The 19,765-nt window shown below is 40.0% G+C and overlaps 1 protein-coding gene and 1 pseudogene across 69 annotated transcripts in view; one reads left to right on the top strand and one right to left on the bottom strand.

Annotated features, from left to right (window-relative positions):
* XRRA1 (X-ray radiation resistance associated 1) overlaps positions 1-19,765 on the top strand; it is a 108,182-nt gene that overhangs the window by 28,498 nt on the left and 59,919 nt on the right. For 61 of the 69 annotated variants that reach the window (NR_165434.1, NM_001378171.1, NM_001378168.1 and 58 more), the window contains 2 exons: positions 13,321-13,449; positions 14,138-14,355. The exons of 4 other annotated variants lie outside the window; for them this stretch is intronic. Coding sequence is in view for 62 of the 65 variants with exons in the window: in NM_001378158.1 (NP_001365087.1) it covers positions 13,321-13,449; positions 14,138-14,355 (347 nt within the window). In the remaining 3 variants the exon portion in view is untranslated. Of the gene's footprint in view, positions 1-10,581; positions 10,706-13,320; positions 13,450-14,137; positions 14,356-19,765 lie in introns of all 69 variants that reach the window. 4 more of the 69 variants (XM_047426389.1, XM_047426385.1, NR_165436.1 and 1 more) reach the window with 2 other exon arrangements.
* Positions 661-1,019, bottom strand: RPL31P46 (ribosomal protein L31 pseudogene 46; annotated as a pseudogene).

The following is a 19,765-nucleotide window of genomic DNA, read 5'->3' as shown; positions in this document are numbered from 1 at the left end:
CTGTTATATTATATTCTCATGTAGATTCTGTACATTTTCTAAGGCCCAGCTCAGACCTTCCTCCTTTCCCTACCAGGAGCCTTCTCTGACTGCTTTAGCCCATGCCTCTTAATCCCTTCTCTAAGGATCAGTTTAATTTAGTGTTTCCACAGTTAATTTAATACTTAGCACATTCTATTGTGGCTTATGCCTAATATATATATGTGTATATATGTAATAAGTTACTTAGATTTTATATGGTGATGATTGTGGTTGGCTAGTTGCTCAAGGGGGTTGAGATAATAGTAGTGATCATTTATTAGGGGTTTCATTAGTTAGGGTTGTTTTGTTTGCAAGTAACAGAAGTCCAATTCAAAGTGGCTTAAACAAAAAAGGGAATTTATTGGTTCATGTATGTGAAAAATCATGAGGTCAGTCTGCTGGATGCTTTGGCTGGATATAGGCGCACAGGATGTTGTCAGGTCTCTGCGTGCATCTCTATTTCTTGAGCATGTGTGCAGCTTCTGTTAGTCTGTTACTTGTTCTGTCATACACATGAAGACATCTTTGTTTTCCTTGGTGTTGGCTTCATTTTTTTTTTTTTTTTTGCAGTTTTATAACTTTGTTTGATATAGTTGACAATCAGTGATTAGTTCTCATCCACAATGACTGTCTATAGATTTTTGAAAGTGGTAACAGGTACATAGGTAACCGAAGTACAGAGCTTATTTGGTGAATCTTCATCCTCATTATATTCTCTGGACAACTGCACATGGATTCGGCATGGGACATTCCTTATTCCTTTGGCCCAGACAGCCTTGTTGAGCCTGGTATCAGTTGTGCACATCTAGAGTTCCCATCTCCTTCCTGACAAATTTCCGAATCTCTTTGAGTGCTCAAGGGGCATGCTTCTTGAAGCCCACTCCATGGATGCACTTGTGAATGTTGATGGTGTATTCTCGGGTCACCACCTCATTGATGGCAGAACGGCCCTTTTTCTTCTTGCCACCCTTCTTCACAGGAGCCATTCTGCCGGGTCCCGGCTTCATTCTTAGGTAGGCTTTCTCCATGAGCCAGTCAGGCTGTAGACAGAAATACAAAACCCACTCAAGGTATTACAAATAGATGGTATTAATTGGTTTACTGATTGGTTTATTCATTTATTAATTCTTGGCAGGGAGAGGTAATTGGTATTTTGTTATGGAAAGTTTTTAAACACATATAAAATTAGAGTCTATCATAAAATTGACTCCAGGTACCTATCACCAACAATTATCACCTGACAATTATCAAGTCATGGCCAATCTTGTTTCATCTATGCCCCCATCACGCCCCCTCCTGGAATATTCTGAAGAAAAATCTCAGATATATACAGCCATAAATGTTTCATATTATTTCATCTATAAATATTCCAGTATGTAGCTCTAAAAGGTAAGCACTCTTAAAAATCATACCCAGAGAACCATTATTCCACCTAAAATATCACCAGTGATAGAGAGGGAATTGGTTACATGGCTGTTAGAAGGGATGGAAGAGCTAAGTGGAGAAGAGGGGTATGGGAAGAACAAAAAGTAAGAAGCGTTGATAACCAGAGATCAGAAGCTGCATCACTGCTAAACTGAAGTCAACAAGTCTATATCCACTGCTGGGCTTTCAGGGAGGGTGTCACTGTAATTGTAGACCTGCTGAAGATGTGATGCCTCAACCAAGGCTGGAATCTCTGCCAACGCAGTTACCATGGTTAGTACTGCCATTGCTGTTGCACTATCACTGCTGCTGCTGACAGAAATGCTATCAGAAGCCAGACAAGAGAGTTGCTTCTCCCTGGCTCTGGCCTTCCAGTCTCTCATGAATCCCTTCTATTGGCAGTATCCAACTAGTTGGAAAGGCAGTCTGGGAAGTGTAGTTAAGGAGATGGCTCCAGCCCCCTACAATACATAGAAGAACACAGAAGGAAGGGGTGAAGGCTGAGAGCAAATAGGCAGATAACTGGCACCATTCAACCCTTGGAACCCCAATAGCTACCCTCCTGCTTCCCTCCATATTTAATTTCCATACAACAATAGCAACTGCAACATGCTTTTACCTAACATGAAGGAACTCTTCCTCTTATACTGAAGACACTTTCACCATCCCCTCAAGAAGGATGAGACACAGTTCCATCAGTTACTGTAGCCATTGCTGGATGATATTATTTTCTCTTCTAAAGAAATTTATGGATATTTTATATCCTAAAAACTAAGTTGTAAAGTCAGTCACCACTAGCAGTTTAAGTGTGCATGCGAGTGCACACACACACACACACACACACACACTAAGGAAGGAAGAAAATGCACACGAAAATATGCATAGTTGCTACAGTGATCTTTTCTTAACTGGTCAGGAGGCCATAGTGGATATTTGTAAATCCTTTTTTCCATCACCTATTTAATGTTCCTCTGTCATCTTCCAGCACCTTGGCTGGTTGGGGTTCTTTAACTGATGTGGTCTTCTGAACCTTCACTTCTGAAGGGTCTGAGTCCTTTAAGGTCCTGCTTTTACTGGGTTGCTGTAGTCTTCATTAAAAGACTAAAAGACATGGAACTTCTTAGAGGAGCACCAGATAATACTCTAGTCCCAGAGATACTTTTTTTTTTTTAACCTCAAGGTATAACAGCAATTATATTTATTTTTATAAACAATATCAGTCACCTAGCCAGTAGAATGAACCCCTCTTTGTCTGACTGTTGGTTCAGTGAAATGAGAAATGCAAGTGGCTGGTAGCAATCTCGACTTCCAGTTCAGTGGAACCATGATTGTGTCTCTTGGTAAAAGTACCTCCTTAGGAACTAAGACCTGTAAATCAGAAGTGCCAAAAGTTGTAGAATGAGAAGCAAAAATTCTGCAAGTGGACTATTAGATATAATTGTAAGAGGAGCTACTTTCATTTCCATTAATTCCTAGGACCTTAGGTTGTGGTTATGAGAAAAACAGTATCAGTTTTGGTTTATGTGATATCCTATGCTGTTAAGTTAGGGTCCCAACTTCCCTAACTATATCTAATTGGTATAGTAGATAAATCATCAAAGACTATTTCACTAGAGGATTCTGGGAAGATGATGGAGTAGGAAGCACCAAGAATCTGTCTCCTCATCTAGACAACAATTTCATTGCCAGAATCAGTCTGATGTAACAATTTTGAAACTGTGGACACAAATAATCTTCACACTCTATTAAAAGTTTACGTCTTCCAGGGGAAGATTTAGATGACAAACTGCAACTAATTTCAGTCAATTACAGCTTTAACCCGGTAGCAGCTACCCATCCCCTAACTCCCAATCTCATGGTTCAAATTTTAAACCTGAAAATTAGAATAAGAAATATATTCATTGGGTAATTCACATGCAGCTTGCAGGAGCCAGGGTGGACAAAAAGATCTCTGTCCTCCAAATTTTAGAGATTTGTGCTGTGATCACTGATTGCTACTTCTCATCATTGAGGTGCACACAGAGGCACACAACCATTGTTGCACACACACCCATCCACAACTGTCATAAGCCCTTTCTGCTCCAGCTGAAGAGACTTCCAGGGAATTTAAAGGATTTCTTTTCTTAATCCTCATTCCTTTCCCCATCTTTTGGGAGCCAGGCATTAAAGTCTAGGACATTCAAAATCAGCTGCATATACAGAGGAAATTAGAATGTCACCACATATATCCAGAGAAATGCACAGGCTTAGAAAAGACCTGAGAAGAACTTACATTTACACATCAGCCTGATCCTTGACACAGAGACAGCCTGCAATAATCAAACACGAAACAAAAAAACCCAGCAAACCCTGGTAAAGGGAAGAATCTGATTTCTAGAGTTACCATATTAATAGATTCAAATATTCAGCTTTCAACAAAAAAATCACAAGGCATACAAAGAAACAGAAAAATATGGCCCATCCAAAGGAAAAAATTAAGCAACAGAAACTATCCCTGAGAAAGTGAGTACTTACTAGATAAAGACTTTAAAACAGCTGTCTTAAAGGTTTTCAAAGAACTAATGAAAGATATGAATAAAGTCAAGAAAATGATATATTAACAAAATGGAAATATCAACAAAGAGATAGACAACCTAAAAAGAAATTTTGAACCTGAAAATTAGAATAAGAAATGAAAAATTCACTGGAGAGTTTCAAAGGCAGATTCGAGCAGTCAGAAGAGAGAATCAGCAAACTTGAAGACAGAACAATTAAATGTATCAAGTCAGAGAAACAAGAGGAAAAAAAAAGATTGACTTGAACAAAGCCTAAGGGACCTGTGGGATTGGGATACCATCAAGCAAACCAACCTATGTATTATGAAAGTCCCAGAAGGAGAAGAGAGAAAGCACGGAGAGATTATTTGAAGAAATAATAGCCTAAAACTTCCCAAGTTTGATGAATGACATGAATATAAACATACATGAGGCTCAGTGAACTCCAAGATAGGATGAACTCAAAGAGACCTCCACTGAGTCATATTATAATCAGACTGTTAAAAGACAGAGGATCTTGAAAGCAGTGAGAGAGAAGCAACTCATCACATACAAGGAATCTTCAATAAGATTATCAGCAGACTTCTTGTCAGAAACTTTTAAGGCCAGAAGGCAGTGGGCTGATATATTAAATATTTAAAGTGCTAAAAGAAAAAAAAACCTGTCAATCAGGAATCCTACATCCAGCAGAAGTGTTCTTCCAAAGTATGGAAGAAATTAAGACATTCCCAGATAAACAAAAGGTAAAAAAAATTCATTACCACCAGTCCCGCCCTGCGTAAATACTGGAGGGAGTTTTGCAGGTTGAAATGAAAGGATGCTAGACAGTAACTCAAAGCTGTAAGAAGGAATAAAGCTCTCATTAAAGGTAAATACATGGGCAATTACAAAAGCTAGTATTATTGTATCAACAGTTTCTATTCCACTTGTAGAACATTGTGGGCAGGGAAGGCAAATCTATATCCAAAAATACATTTATAATCTAGTAAAGGAAACTTGCTGCTGCTTTTTAAAGTCAACTTGATACTAGACAGCTGTATAATCCCTCTAGAAATTCGGTGCCATATTAGGGGTTCAGCAGTGGCCTCTGCCATTGGCAGGTTGAGTACTCAGCAAGGGTCATAACCAGATTTGCTATGGTGAAAGGAAGTGTGTAGCCTTCATCCCTGCCACCAAGGGAAAGAGGGCAACTGACATTCATGGATTGGGTTACCTTATCTTCCTGACCATTGAGAGTCTCCGCCACAGGGGATTGTCTTGGGGAAACAGTCATATGAGACACGGTCTTCACACTCTATCCATTCTGAGAGGTTAAGTCACATAATTTTTCTCTATACTTTAAGCAACTTTCCCATATTTTTTCCAAGCTTTGACTATTCAGCTAAACCATCAGCCACTGCCCGTGAATCAGTATAGATCTGTATTTCTGGCTATCTCTCTGACCAAGCAAATGGCCAATCAGATACATTGCTCTAAGTTCTGCCTGCTTAGAAGATTTCTCTTCCCCTGTGTTTTTGGTCACTCCTGTGTGGGGCTATAATATTGTAATAGTTGACTTTGAGAAGGTATCAGCATATCATGCTAAGTCATTTGTAAACCAAGCTAGAGGTTTTTCTTCCTATATTAGATGGCCACAGGACCTTAGTTAAGGGTTGATGAAGAGGTAGCAGTACAGCAGGAGTATGCGCCATAGGAATCTAAGCCATATATTCCTGCAACTTTTCCAGTCTTGCTGGAGCCTGATTTCAAATATTGCTTTCACTTGATGGGGGATTTCTGTTGCATGTTCAGTTCATGATGAGTGGCTCAGGTTGCATGATCACATAGTATCCTGTGGTCAGGTATTTGGCCTCTACCAACATGCACTAGTAAGCAAGAAATTGTTTTTCAAAAAAAAAAAAAAAAGGTTATCTGCAGAATAGGGCATAACTTTGCTCAAAAATGAATCTGCTATGGGTACCGAGAAAAGGCTCTATTCATAGAATGACCATGTACTTTATCATCCAAACCAGGACATATATGAGAGGGAAAAGGGACAGTAGTAATAATTATTTGGCGATAACAGGTGAAAACTCAGGCTATCATTGAAATCCAGGATGTATGGTACCCTATCTGTACAGCACACCTATTTGCCATAGTCCTTTAGAAGCCATTTGGACCTGCTGAGTCATATGCCCAATGGAAGAGCAACTTGCATTACAGTTGGGACCTGTTGTAGAACCTTGCCTTGCTCTGGACCTCACTCAAAACTAGCAGCCTTGTGGGATACTTAGTAAATGAGTTAGAACAGCACCAAATATTTTATGTCACTTCTAAAATTTAAAAGGGGGATGGGCACGGTGGCTCACGCCTGTAATCCCAACACTTTGGGAGGCCGAGGCAGGTGGATCACTTGAGGTCAGGAGTTCGAGACCAGCTTGGCCAATGTGGCAAAACCCTGTCTCTACTAAAAATACAAAAATTAGTCAGATGTGGTGGCGGGCGCCTGTAATCCCAGCTACTCGGGAGACTGAAGCAGGAGAATCGCTTGAACCTGGGAGGCAGTGGTTTCAGTGAGCCAAGATCACACCACTGCACTCCAACCCCAGGCGACAGAGTGAGACTCCATCTCAAAAAATAAATAAATAAAATAAATAAAAATAAAATCCACAAAGGCCAGTGAAACTTTGTGATTTTTTTCCTACAAGTAGTGTAAGATAAATAAGAAGCAAGGTACAGGATTATGTCTTTCACATTAGAAGTACATCACAACATGCTTCAGATACCTGGATAACAACAAAAAATTAATCCATATCGTAGTACCCTGAATTTTGATGGGGGAGGGGGCTTACCTCCATCCTGTAACACACAGGTATCTTACTAAGGCATCTAGGGTGTTTGCAACTTTTCCTGCTCGCCAGGTCCAGTCAGTATGATATTCTGTAGGATATCAAAATAACCAAGATCCCGGAGTTGATATGGCCCCAAGAGAAGAGGAAAAAGGTGTACTGTTGTCCCTGTCAGGTGAAAGCAGACTGCTTTTGGTAGTTCTTATTAATTGATAAAGAGAGAGAAAGAAACATTTGATAGGTCCTTAGCTGTATCCACAGTGCCAGGGGCTTGGTTGATTTGCTCCAGTAAAAAGATTCCACACCTGGAATAGCAGCTGAAAGTGGGAGTCACCTCTTGATTAAGCTTACAGGAATCTACAATCATTCTTCAAAACCTGTTTTCTGTACAAGCTAAATAAACAAAGGATATCTTCTTCACAATACATAACAATCTTCTAAACAAGAGATGTTAAACAGGGATGTCATAGGAATCATTATCCTTCCATCTTTTTAATCTTTAGTGATGGCAGTAATCTCTGCAATTACCTCAGGGATTCAGTATTGTTTTTGGTTTACTATTGGGAAGAAAAGTTCCTGGGGTTTCAATTGGACACTTCCTACTATAATGGGCTATATACTTTGTTGCTCAGTAAATAAATGTGGGTGTTCTGCCAGTTGTTTAGTATGTCAGTTTCAGTTACACGTTCAGGGTAGATATGTGACTTCACTGGGTCCATTGTGAAACAGACTTTGGCTAAATTTTCATTCTTCCATCTGACCTTTATGATCCCCCACTTTTGAGTGATGGTCCACCATGCCTTTCATATCCCCAGAGATGAGCACCAATTTGCAGACACTGTCTAGTAATCCTTACAAGGCCTAATTTAGCACTGTTCAGTAGAACTTACTACAGTGTTGGAAATGTTCTATATCTGTGTTGTTCATAGTGTAGCTACTAGGCATATTGAGCTCTTGAGCACTTGAAATGTAGCTAGTGTGATACAGGAACTGAATGTTCAATTTTATTTAAGCTTAATTAGTTTTAAGTTAAATGTAAATAGGAACTGAATGAGAGGCCATGGCTCTTTCTTTGGACAACTCAAATCACTTTTTGCCCACCAGATCAAGGGTTTTCTGGTGATCTACATCACTAATAATTTCAAATCATCTTAATTCAATTATAAAAATTGAAATTATTTGAAGCTAGTCTTCAGTCTCTGCAACGTCCATACTATTTCTAGTGTATACGTCCTCCGAGGGTTTGGTTTTCTAATGACCTAACTTAGAGCATGAGTAGTCAGGCTTCTATTCTGTGGCATGCCTTGGATTCCAATTTTCGCCCCTGGCCCAGCAGGGTTGTCAGAATCTCTGCTCAACTTCTCAGCCTCTCAGCCACTTCTGGAGTCAGCAGACAGTCCTAGGGGAAAAGTGTTGCATGAACCCCTTTGGATTTCCTTCTTTTTTCAAATCTTAGCGCCATAATTCTTCACAGCTTGTTAGTTCCCAGGTATCTTAAGGCAGATTGTTTTTAAATGTATATTTTGTCTGGGTTTTCTAGTTTTTTACTCAGGGAAGAGTTGGTCCCACATTATTTAGTTTGCAACACTATAAACCTTTCTATTTATTTTGGTACCTAGAGTCACTCAGGATGGAATCAGCTTAAGCTAAATTCCTGACTGGGTGTTTTCTGAATCACTCTGATGATACAGATTTGGGCTACAGTTTTGCAAGAGGACCAGTCTGCCCTTCCCCTTGTCTTTCTCTGTTCACTCCAAGACAGTTTTCTCCTGGCTATGGGATAAGGAGAATAGGTTTAGTTTTGGTTAATTTCACCCTGAGGGTGTATCCCTTTAGGATCCGAAATTCATATAAAGGGTCTCTGATTAAACTCCCCACCTTCAGGGTACCCTGGGCTTTGATTCTCTAGCCCCATGATACTGTTAAACCATAGTTCAGTTTCAACAGGATAAGTATATGCCCTCAAGGCTTGAGTGGCTTCCTATGTTAAGTTTCTCCCTCTGGGTTTTTAGATTTGGCATACTGCTTCCTTTCTCTCTTCACATCTCTTATACATATTAAAATGATGGATCCACCACCACGGGGAATGGTGGTGTGTGCCTGTAGTGCCAGCTACTTGGGAGGCCAAGGTGGGAAGATCGTTTTAGGCCAGGAGTTCAAGTCCAGCCTAGGCAACCATAGCAAGACCCCATCTCTACAAAAGAAAATAAATAAAATGATGGATCTTTTTTCTTTTTATATTTTATTCATCATTCTAGTTGTTTTCAGTGGAAAGCCTAGTTACATAAAATAAGGCAAGTCTCCCCCACCCTGCACTTTCATGTTCTTATATATGAGGGGGAGAATAAATGTATTCCTACCTGCATCAGAGTAGCAGTTGAAATCAGCACGCTTTGAAAGCTGTGGGTTGGCCAGGCATGGTCACTCACACTTGTAATCCCAGCACTTTGGGAGGCTGAGGCAGGAGGATTGTTTGAGCCCAGGAGTTTGAGGCCAGCCTGGGCAACGTAGTGAGACCTTATCTCTACAAAAATAAAAATAAAGCTGTGGGGCTCCAGACCAATACCATTGTCATTATTTTCTTCCCACTCATCTATCTAGATTCAGTATGCTCTGTGGGTTCCTTTTCTGCTAGCCTCTTAAACGTTGGTGCTCCCCAGTCATCCACCCTTAACCTACTATTTTTCTTTATCTTTATACTCTTTATTGGTGGCCTCCTCTTCGCAAGTCTTCTGAATTATAAGCCTGTTTAGCCTACTTATCAAACTCCTCACACACATCCCCATGCCATTAAGCCCTCCTTCTCGCTCTCTCCTCCTTTCTTTCCTTTCCTGGCCTCATTGACTGGCACTTCTTCCCACCTACTATGTAGTTGTCCAGGCTAGAACCTGAGCATTAGCCCAAATTTTGGCCTCCCTCATTCCACACATACATTCAATCACCAGGTGCTGTGAATTGTACTTTCTAAATTCTTCTCAAACCTGCTCATTGCTGTTATCCTCCTGTTTGGTCCCAGTCTGCAGTTTCTTGCCTCCCAGCCCATCCTCCTATCTGTCAGCCAGAGTGATCTTTCTGAAATGCACATGTGATTCTATCACTGCCCTGCTTAAAGTCCTTTAGCAGGTTCCCACTATCCTAAAGATAAACTCCATTAACATCGCTCAAAGCTTTTCATGGCCTGACTCTGCCTGCTTCTCCATCCTCCTTTCTCTTCACTTTTTCCATTCATCATATACCTCATCTATTCTGAACTATTTGTGTCTCCATTTCTTGCTATTTTTTTTGTCTGGGTGAGTTAGGGGAATCATATTTGACCCATTCTATACGTAGACTACTCTATTGCTTGTTTTGAGCTGGAATCTGCTACTTTGGCTCTTTCATTAGGCCTACTCTCTTTCTGCTTCAGACCATACAAGTCGGCGTTCTCAGGCACGACCAGCACAGAGCAGAGGATGAATTGTTACCTCCTTTCTTTTAGTCACTATATTCCAAATAACGCCACCTGAAAGAGCACTAGCTTTTTAGTAGCCACATCATAATCCCCTTTTACACACACACAGTTTGTTAAGCCATGTCTCCCTTATTCTGTGTGTTTGCACAGTTGGTGTTCTGTATCTTAACACAGAAGCTGATCTGACATTTGTCGTAATGTAAGTACTTGCTAAGTTTCATCTTGTTTGTTGCAGCCCTTGGTTCAGTCTTTTGAGCAATATTTTTAGCCTAATCGAAAGTCTTACAGTGTAAAGTAAAAGAAATCCCCCTTTACCATACAGATAGAGGATCTAGGCCCAGAGATGCTCAACACCAGCCGGAAGTCACACAGCAAGCAAAGCAGCAGCAGCACCGGAGCCAGAGCTCAGGGATCCTGGCCACCCTTCCCATGCATCTTCTAATATGGTACACAAATTCCCATTGCTGAATCCAACCACTGCACATACCCTTAGCTTCTGAAAAACTTTCATTAAATCTCTCAGATTTTAAGTAGTAGTAATTCTGTTTGGCAAGAGAAGTGATAATAAAAATAGCACCACTCTGAACAGCTGGAAACCCCGGCTTCTCCACTACTGACAGACTTTGCCACTTTGAAGAGCTTTTCTTCCAAAACTGCCACAGGAGGGGCTCGGTGGGAAAGCCTGCTGCTTTCCTCTGAAGCTAGACATCTGTCTTCTCACCCATCTGATGGCTGCCCCTCTATTTTAAGATGTCTATTTTAGAGACAAAAAATGAAACTTTCCCATGCTATAATTAGGGTAGAACTTTAAAAAGACGAAGTAGTGTAACTTGTCACAAGAGACGAGACAGAGCCAGCTTCTGCATTATGGAGCTTAAGAGGAATTTTTTAAAGGCTTATTTCTTAGCTGTTTCATATTTCACTAGAGTAAAATTAAGATTGGCCAATCAATTATAAATCAACACAGCTGCTGTGCACTGTTCTGTAATAGCTCAGATAGAGATTAAAAATTCAATGTATGAAAGTTGGTCCTTCCAGAAAGAGGAAAGGGCACACTCATGACCTTGAAATATTATGAAGTATAAAAGCTTCCTGCCTTCTCTGTTAAGTGTCTCTGGTCTTTGGACTTCAAGCCTGTTCTCTACAGTGCTGCCAGGTCTCTTTCTGAAAGTTTATCTGACCTGTCCCTTTTTCCAGTCAGAACTGTCATAATCTATAGAAGTCTGTCAGTGTTAGGATACAGAAAAAAAGGCAGGGGGGAATTGATTGTAAGAACATTGGGGAATCTCACAGCCGTGCCTGAGGGTCATGCTGAACATAGACCCTGAGCACCGTGGAGCAGCCTGGAAGTTCTGTCTCTCAGCTTTCACACCTCCTCCTCTCTGTGACTTGCCACATTTTTCTTTACAGGTGGGCTGCCTGTGTCTTTCTAGACCTCATGATGGGAAACATGGCTGCCTATAGCTACTAATTATGTTACAGATCCAGCCACGAAGAGATTATTTTTTTCCCTGTTCTCTCTTTTTCACATTGGTTAAAAGCATGACAATTCCCTCTCCATTCCTCATGGTTTTGCTTAAACATTGCCTTTCCCGAATAGGCGCCTTCCCCACATACTTCTTTTATGGTGTTTGTCTCACCACAGGCTGCGTGTCCACCTACTCCACCTAGAGGGGAGGGATGTGTTCTTTTATTTGTAGTCTCAGTACCTGGCCACATAAATATATGTTAAAGAAATTCATGAGTGTGAATGAACGAATTAATTAGTAATACATTCATTTAGAATATACCCTCTCTAAATGCACCTGTGAAATATCCCTGACTTCAGGTATACATTACTGTCCTAGCTTTTGAACTCACTGCCAACCTTTGTTAAGCTCTCTCTAGCTCAGGCATCAGCTCCCCCTTCCATTTCCCCACCCTTTAATCCACATGGGGCTAGTAGAGGTGAATGTGAAAGGTGTGATTTGGCAGTGGAAAGGGCATGGGATTTGGAGTCAGGCAGACCCAGGTTCTAGTTTGAGTCATCCCACTTTCTAGCTATGCGACTTCAGGCAAGTTGCTCTGAGCTTCATTTTGTTAATCTGTAAAGGAGATAAATAATACCTATCCTTGGATAACACATACAAAACATATCGCACAATGCCAGAAATGCATTAGGTGCTAAAGAAATGTTTGTTTCCCTTCCTCTAGTTGTGTGTGTGTTTGTGGCTTATATATGTGTATACTATATGCATTTGTGCCTATGTGTACTATTTTGGTGTGTGGGTGGCATACAGTATGGAGGGAAGAATGAAAACGTTATTTGTGTCATCTGCCTGTGTGGAAGAGAGTTACCTAGGTCTCATCTACCTGGAGGACACAAGTGAGGTCACATTAATGGCGGTACTTAAAATGCCACCACTTCCTGCCCACCCCTGTAATTCAGGGCATCACCCCCATAAATCTCACTCTTAGGTATTTCTGGGAATCTTCAGAGAGTTTGAGTTTAAGGAGAAACTTCTCCACTCCTTACTCATGTGTTCATTTTATGAAGCCACTTGAGAAGAGAGCCTCACTGCAGCCAGGGGTGGTGCCCTCAACCCACCCTACTTTACCCTACTAGGTGGCAAAGCTGTGGTCTATAACAAGGGCATTGTCTCCTGGTGCTCCCAGTTACCAGTCTACTAGGTGACACAGCATAACAAGGAGTCTTCCTGAGTCAAAATTGTGCAGTGATCTGCAGAATGCTCCCTCCAGCTTGGTCATGCCTCTTTCACCTGGCATTTTCTATAAGCACTACCTATACAATCCCCCATCCTGCCCTAACCTGGTTTCAATGATGTGTGTAACCTTTCTCCATACAGAAGACAATATGGTATGTATAATAGTGTTTGGGAAAGGAGAAGGTGGGGAAGGAATTATACTTTCTGTGCATCCCTATGGGGACCTCTTTTGGGCACTAGAACCGTTCCTAAGCTGGTTAGTCCTCCTAATTGATTCCCTGTCCTCCATGGCTTCCTGGGAATGGTGGAATTTGTCCCTCGACCTTGCTCATTACCCAAGATCTTTGCACTCACAGGGAGGCATCTGTAACATCGCTGACAAGCAAGAGGTACATCCTGAGGTTCCCAGCGCTGGAGACACTGATGCTGGATGACAACAGACTCTCCAACCCCAGTTGCTTTGCCAGCCTGGCTGGGCTCAGGAGGTAAAGCCATAAGCCTTTCTCTGCTGGGCCTCCTCTAATCCCCAGGCTTGCTCACACTCTGAGTGCTGTTCTGGAAGCCAAAAGGTTTGGGTTTAAAGCCTAGCTCCACAATTTATCTCTACTGTGTGGCCATGGGTAAGTCATTTCTCCCCTCTGAGCTTTGGCTCCTCCATAAAAATGGCCATGAGTGAGGACATTTCTGATCACATGACTGAATTAGAAGCAGCAAAGAGAAAGGAAAACAGGAGGAGATTTTACCCAAGATAGGATTCGGACCCTGACAGTAGAGACAGGAAAATTTTTTAAAATATTGAGAATCAGAAAGAGAAATTTAATTCCTGAATTCTAACTGAAGTAAAGAAAATAGTGGCATTTACATTGTTAAGCTTTACTTCTCTGGAAAATTTACTTTGGTTTCAACTACCATTTACTGAATACTACTTTGTGCCAGGCCATTTACATATTGCCTCATTAAATCTTCACAAGAACCCTGAAAGGTTAATAAATATTATCCCCATTTTAGAGACAGGGATATTGAATCCCAGAGAGAGTAAGTCACCGGCTCAACGTCACACAAGAGGAATAAGTATCCAAGCCTGATTCCATGTTTTTTCCCTAAAGTTGCTTGGTAAACAATCCTGAGGTATCATTATTGCTATGATTCTATATTCACTTTCCTTAATTGAAGACTGAAGAAGTTAAGCTTGGATGAAAACAGGATTATCAGGATCCCATACCTACAGCAAGTTCAGCTCTATGACGAGTCAGTAGACTGGAATGGAGGCAGGGGAAGTCCCCATAAAGAGCCCCAATTCATGCTGCAGTCCAAGCCAAGGATGCTTGAGGACTCAGATGAGCAACTGGATTATACTGTACTGCCCATGAAAAAGGATGTTGACCGGACAGGTGAGTGACACCCCTTGTCCCAGAAATTCTACCCTCATGGTGGAAATACACTTCTGAGAGTTTATTCTGAAAGTCTCACTTGGTCATGGTGAATATCACGAATTGAATTTGCTGATTCTTTGTCAAGGATGTTTGCATCTATGTTTGGGAGATGTGTTGGTGTATTGATTTCTTTTGTTACAGTATTCTTGTTAGGATTTATAATCAAGGTTATGCTTGCCTGATAAAATGTGTTTTGGAAGTTTTATTTCTGTTTCCTAGGAAAGTTTATATACTATTATTATTTTATCCTTAAATTTTGGAAGAATTCACCATGAGACCACCTGAGCCTGGAGTTTTCTTTGTAGAATGAGGTTGAAATTATGCAACTTTAGAAGCTTGGAAGAGGTGCTCCTGACACCTGAAATTTAGACCTCTGGGGAAGCGGTGCTGCTTGGCTGCTGGTGTCTCCGAGCTATGATGGGCTTCATGTAGCTGAGACCCAGATCTCTGAGGATACTGGCCAGCTGGTGCTGGTGCCTGTGGAGGAGTCACAGTGAAGCTAGTTTATAAAAGTTGGAAAAACTGCAAACTAGATTCAGCTACTGCTGGGGAAAGACTTGCTAGACTACAGCAAAAACAAAACAAATCAAAAACCACATTATTCCAGTGGCATTCACAGGAAGCACAAGCAGTTAGGAAACCCATGGGAAGCAGATAGGAAGAGATAAGCCCCTTTTTCCTCTTCCAGCTTTGCAGTCTCCCTTTAGCACCACCCATATTGTCAGAGTCTAACAGGAAACCAGCGGTCAAAGCAGAAATACGGTTTTGAGAGCCTCAGCTCCAGCATTCTAAAGCAGAATAAAGAAAGATGGATTTCAAAGTTAAAAATAATACTAATAACTGGCCGGGCACAGTGGCAGTTATTTTGGGAGGCCAAGGCTGGAGAATTGTTTGAGGCCAGGAGTTTCAGGCATGCAGTGAGCTATGATCATGCCACTGCCCTCTGGCCTGGATGACAGAACGAGACCCTATCTCTATAAAAAATTAAAAAATTAGCTGGGTGTGATGGCATGCACCTATAGTCCTGGCTACTGGGGGCTGAGGCAGGAGGATCCCTTGAGCCTGTAGTGAGCTATGATCACGCCACTGCTCTCCAGCCTGGCAGCAGAGTGAGACCCTGTCTCTACAAATAATAATAGTAACAACTTAATAAAGGGCACAATTATGTTATTCAGATTCTCCCTAAAATAATTTTCTGTCTGCTTGGTTTGTTAACTTTGGAAATAGGTATATTAAAGTCTGTCCCCACTGTTGTAGATTTGTCAGTATCTCCTTGCATTTCTGGCTTTTTTTTTTTTTTTTTTTACTGTGAAGTTGGTTTGGTTCTCTGTTATTAGGTTTGTGACTTTTATCTTGGTAGGTTGTGTATTTTAATCGTTGTAAAATATCCCAGGTAGATAAATAATTTTGGTTTTGACTTGGGCCTCTATTTTGTTTGATATGAATATTTATTTTAGGATATCTTAAAAACAATATAGTACTGCATATTTTTGCTTATATGATTCTTAATGAGTCTTTTTTCATAGAAGAATTTAACTCACATGGTGATTATTGATACATTTCACCTTATTTCTACCATTAGTGTGTTTTCTATTTACCTATGCTTTTTCTTTTTTTTCTTCTTGTGAGCACTAAGTTTTCTTTCAATTCCAATCTTTTCACTAATTGTTTAAAGCAAGAAATCTCATGTCTGTATCTCTAATGGTTACCCTAAAACTTTTTTTTTTTTCTTTTTAGAGACAGAGTCTCACCCTATCACCCCAGGCTGAAGTGCGGTTACACGATCGTGCTCAAACTGTATTGTTGAACTCTGGGGCTCAAGTGATCCTCCTGCCTCAGCCTCCCAAGTAGCTGGGACCACTGCACCTGGCTATTACCCTAAAACTTTTAATTCACATTTTAAAACTCACTTTTGTCTATCAACACCTAGAATCAACCAAATACATGTCTTCTTTTTTAATAAGAAAATTTTAATATGCATCTATCTATGCCACCCTACTCCCATCACTTCCCATAATGTAATAAACTCTAACAATAATTTAGATTGGTTTTAATTTTTAAAATTATATACCAATGATTCTTTAGACTGAAAGATTGAACCTCATTCTTAGGTTCTTTATCATGTGTACATATGTATAACTTAGGAGCAGAGACTTCTGTTTACAATACAACTCAGGTCCTAATACAGTATAATTTTTAATCTCTTCAAAGTTCTTCTTACCCTCTTATTTTTTTTCTTTCATCCTTAATTCCTACTCCCATTTCCTGTTTTCATATAAATGTCTACTTTTATCTTGGATATATTTTCCTGCATATATGTATTTATCTTTGTAAAATATATATTATTTTGTGTGTAATGTGTTTGTAATTTACATAATGGTAATATGGTCTTGAGCTCTTTCTGTTACTTGATTTTTTCAGTCAACATTGTTTTTAAGACCTTTCCTTCTTGCCATATGTCCATCTAGTTATTGGCTTTTTATTTTATTTTTTTGAGACGGAGTCTCACGCTGTTGCCCAGGCTGGAGTGCAATGGTGCGATCTCCGCTCACTGCAAGCTCTGCCTCCTGGGTTCTCGCCATTCTCCTGCCTCAGCCTCTTGAGTTCCTGGGACTACAAGCGCCCGCCACCATGCCCGGCTAATTTTTTGTATTTTTAGTGGAGACAGGGTTTCATCATGTTAGCCAGGATGGTCTCGATCTCCTGACCTCATGATCTGCCTGCCTCAGCCTCCCAAAGTGTTGGGATTACAGGCGTGAGCCACCGCGCCCAGCCTAGTTACTGACTTTTAACTAATGCAGAGTATTCTACAATATATGCTCTAAACACATTTCACACATCTCTTCCCTTACTGATGAACACTTAGGTTGCTTATAACTCTCTTACTACAAATGGTGCTACAATGAACAACCTTGTGAACATCTTTTGCATATACCACTGTGCCAGGGTTTTCCTGGAGTATTTACCCAGAAGTGGGATTGATGGATGACAGAGTATATGTATATGTAGTTTTAAAAATTGCCACCTGATTGTTCTTCAAAATAGTTGCTTCAGTGTACACTCACACAAGTAGTACATAAGGGTTCTTGTCTTCCTATGTCCTTATCAATACTTGGTATTATCTTACTTTATAGTTTTTCTAAGTTTTATTATTCTGGGTAGGTGTAAAGTGATATTTATCTTTAAAAACTTTTTAATTTATAATTTTTGTGGGTACATAGTAGATGTACATATTTATGGGGCACATGAGATATTTTGGTATAGGCATGTAATATACTCTTTTAGTTATTTTTAAATGTACAATTAAATTAAAGTATTATTGACTATAGTCCCCCTGTTGTGCTACCAAATACTAGGTCTTATTCATTCTATTTTTTTTGTATCAATTAACCATCCCCACCTCTCCCCCAGGCCCCCACTATCCTTCCCAGCCTCTGGTAACCATCTTTCTACTCTCTGTGTCCATGAGTTCAATTGTTTTGATTTTCAGATCCCACAAATAAGTGAGAATATGCAATTTTTGTCCTTCTGTGCCTGGCTTATTTCACTTAACATAGGGACCTCCAGTTCCATCCACGTTCTTGCAAATGATAGAATCTCATTCTTTTTAATGGCCGAATAGTACTCCATTGTATATATGTACCACATTTTCTTTATCCATTCATCTGTTGATGGATGCGTAGGTTGCTTCCAAATCTTGGCTATTGTGAACACTGCTGCAACAAACATAAGAGTGCAGATATCTCTCTGATATACCGATTTCCCTTCTTTTGGGTATATACTCAGCATTGGGATTGCTGGATCATATGGTAGCTGTATTTTTAGTTTTGTGAGGAACTTCCAAACTGTTCTTCATAGTGGTTGTGCTAATTTACATTCCCAGCAACAGTGTATGAGGGTTCCCTTTTCTCCACATCCTCACCAGCATTTGTTATTGCCTGACTTTTGGATAACAGCCATTTTAACTAGGGTGAGATGATATCTCATTGTAGTTTTGATTTGCATTTCTCTGATGGTCAGTGATGTTAAGAACCTTTTGATATGCTGTTTTCCATTTGAATGACTTCTTTTGAAAAATGTTTATTCAGATCTTTTGCCCATTTTTTAGTCAGATTATTAGATTTTTCCCTGTGGAGTTGTTTGAGCTCCTTATATATTCTGATTATTAATCCCTTGTCAGATGGGTAGTTTGCACATGTTTTCTCCCATTCTGTGGGTTGTCTCTTTGTTGATTATTTCCTTTGTTGTACAGAAGCTTTTTAACTTGATGTGATCCCATTTGTCTATTTTTGCTTTGGTTGCCTGTGCTTGTGAGATATTACTACTCAAGAAAATTTTGCCCAGACCAGTGTCCTGGAAAGTTTCCTCAATGTTTTCTTGTAGGTGTTTCACAGTTTGAGGTCTTATATTTAATTCAAATAAAAGGCAAGAGATGGAGTCAAGTTTAATTCTTCTGCATATGGATATCCTCTTATCCCAGAACCATTTATTGAAGAGACTGTCTTTTCCCCAATGTGTGTTCTTGGCACCCTTGTCGAAAATCGGTTTACTGTAGGTGTGTGGATTTATTTCTAGGTTCTCTATTCTGTTCCATTGGTCTGTGTGTCCATTTTTATGCCAGTACCATACTGTTTTGGTTACTGTAGCTTTATAGTATAATTTGAAGTCAGGTAATGTGATTCCTCTAGTTTTGTTCTTTTTGCTCAGGATAGATTTGGCCATTCTGGGTCTTTTGTGGTTCCATATAAATTTTAAGATAGTTTTTTTCTATTTCTGTGAAGAATGTCATTGGTATTTTGTAGGGATTGTATTGAATCTCTAGAATGCTTTCAGTACTGTGGACATTTTAACAATATTGATTCCTCCAATCCATGAACATGGGATATCTTTCCATTTTTATGTGTCCTTTTCAATTTCTTTCATTGGTGTTTTATAGTTTTTATTGTAGAGATCTTTTACTTCTTTGGTTAATTCCTAGGTATTTTATTGGTGGCTATTGTAAATGGGATTCCTTTTTTATTTCTTTTTCAGATTGTTCACTGTTGGCATATAGAAATGCTACCAATTTTGTATGTTGACTTCGAGTCCTGAAACTTTACTGAATCTGCTTATCAGTTCTAATCATTTTTTGGTGGAGTCTTTAGGTTTTTCCAATATAAGATCATATCATCTGCAAACAGGGATAATTCAACTTCCTCCCTTCCGGTTTGGATCCCCTTTATTTCTTTCTCTTTGATTGCTGTAGCTAAGACTTCCAGTAATCAGTTGAATAATGGTGGTAAAAGTGGGTATCCTTGTCATGTTCCACATATAAGAGGAAAGGCTTTCAGTTTTTCCCCATTTAGTACGATACTAACTATGTGTCTGT

Source organism: Homo sapiens, chromosome 11, assembly GCF_000001405.40.
Source record: "Homo sapiens chromosome 11, GRCh38.p14 Primary Assembly".
Taxonomy (NCBI): domain Eukaryota; kingdom Metazoa; phylum Chordata; class Mammalia; order Primates; family Hominidae; genus Homo; species Homo sapiens.
The sequence above is the reverse complement of the archived record's forward strand: the minus strand, read 5'-3'. Positions and strand labels throughout refer to the sequence as shown.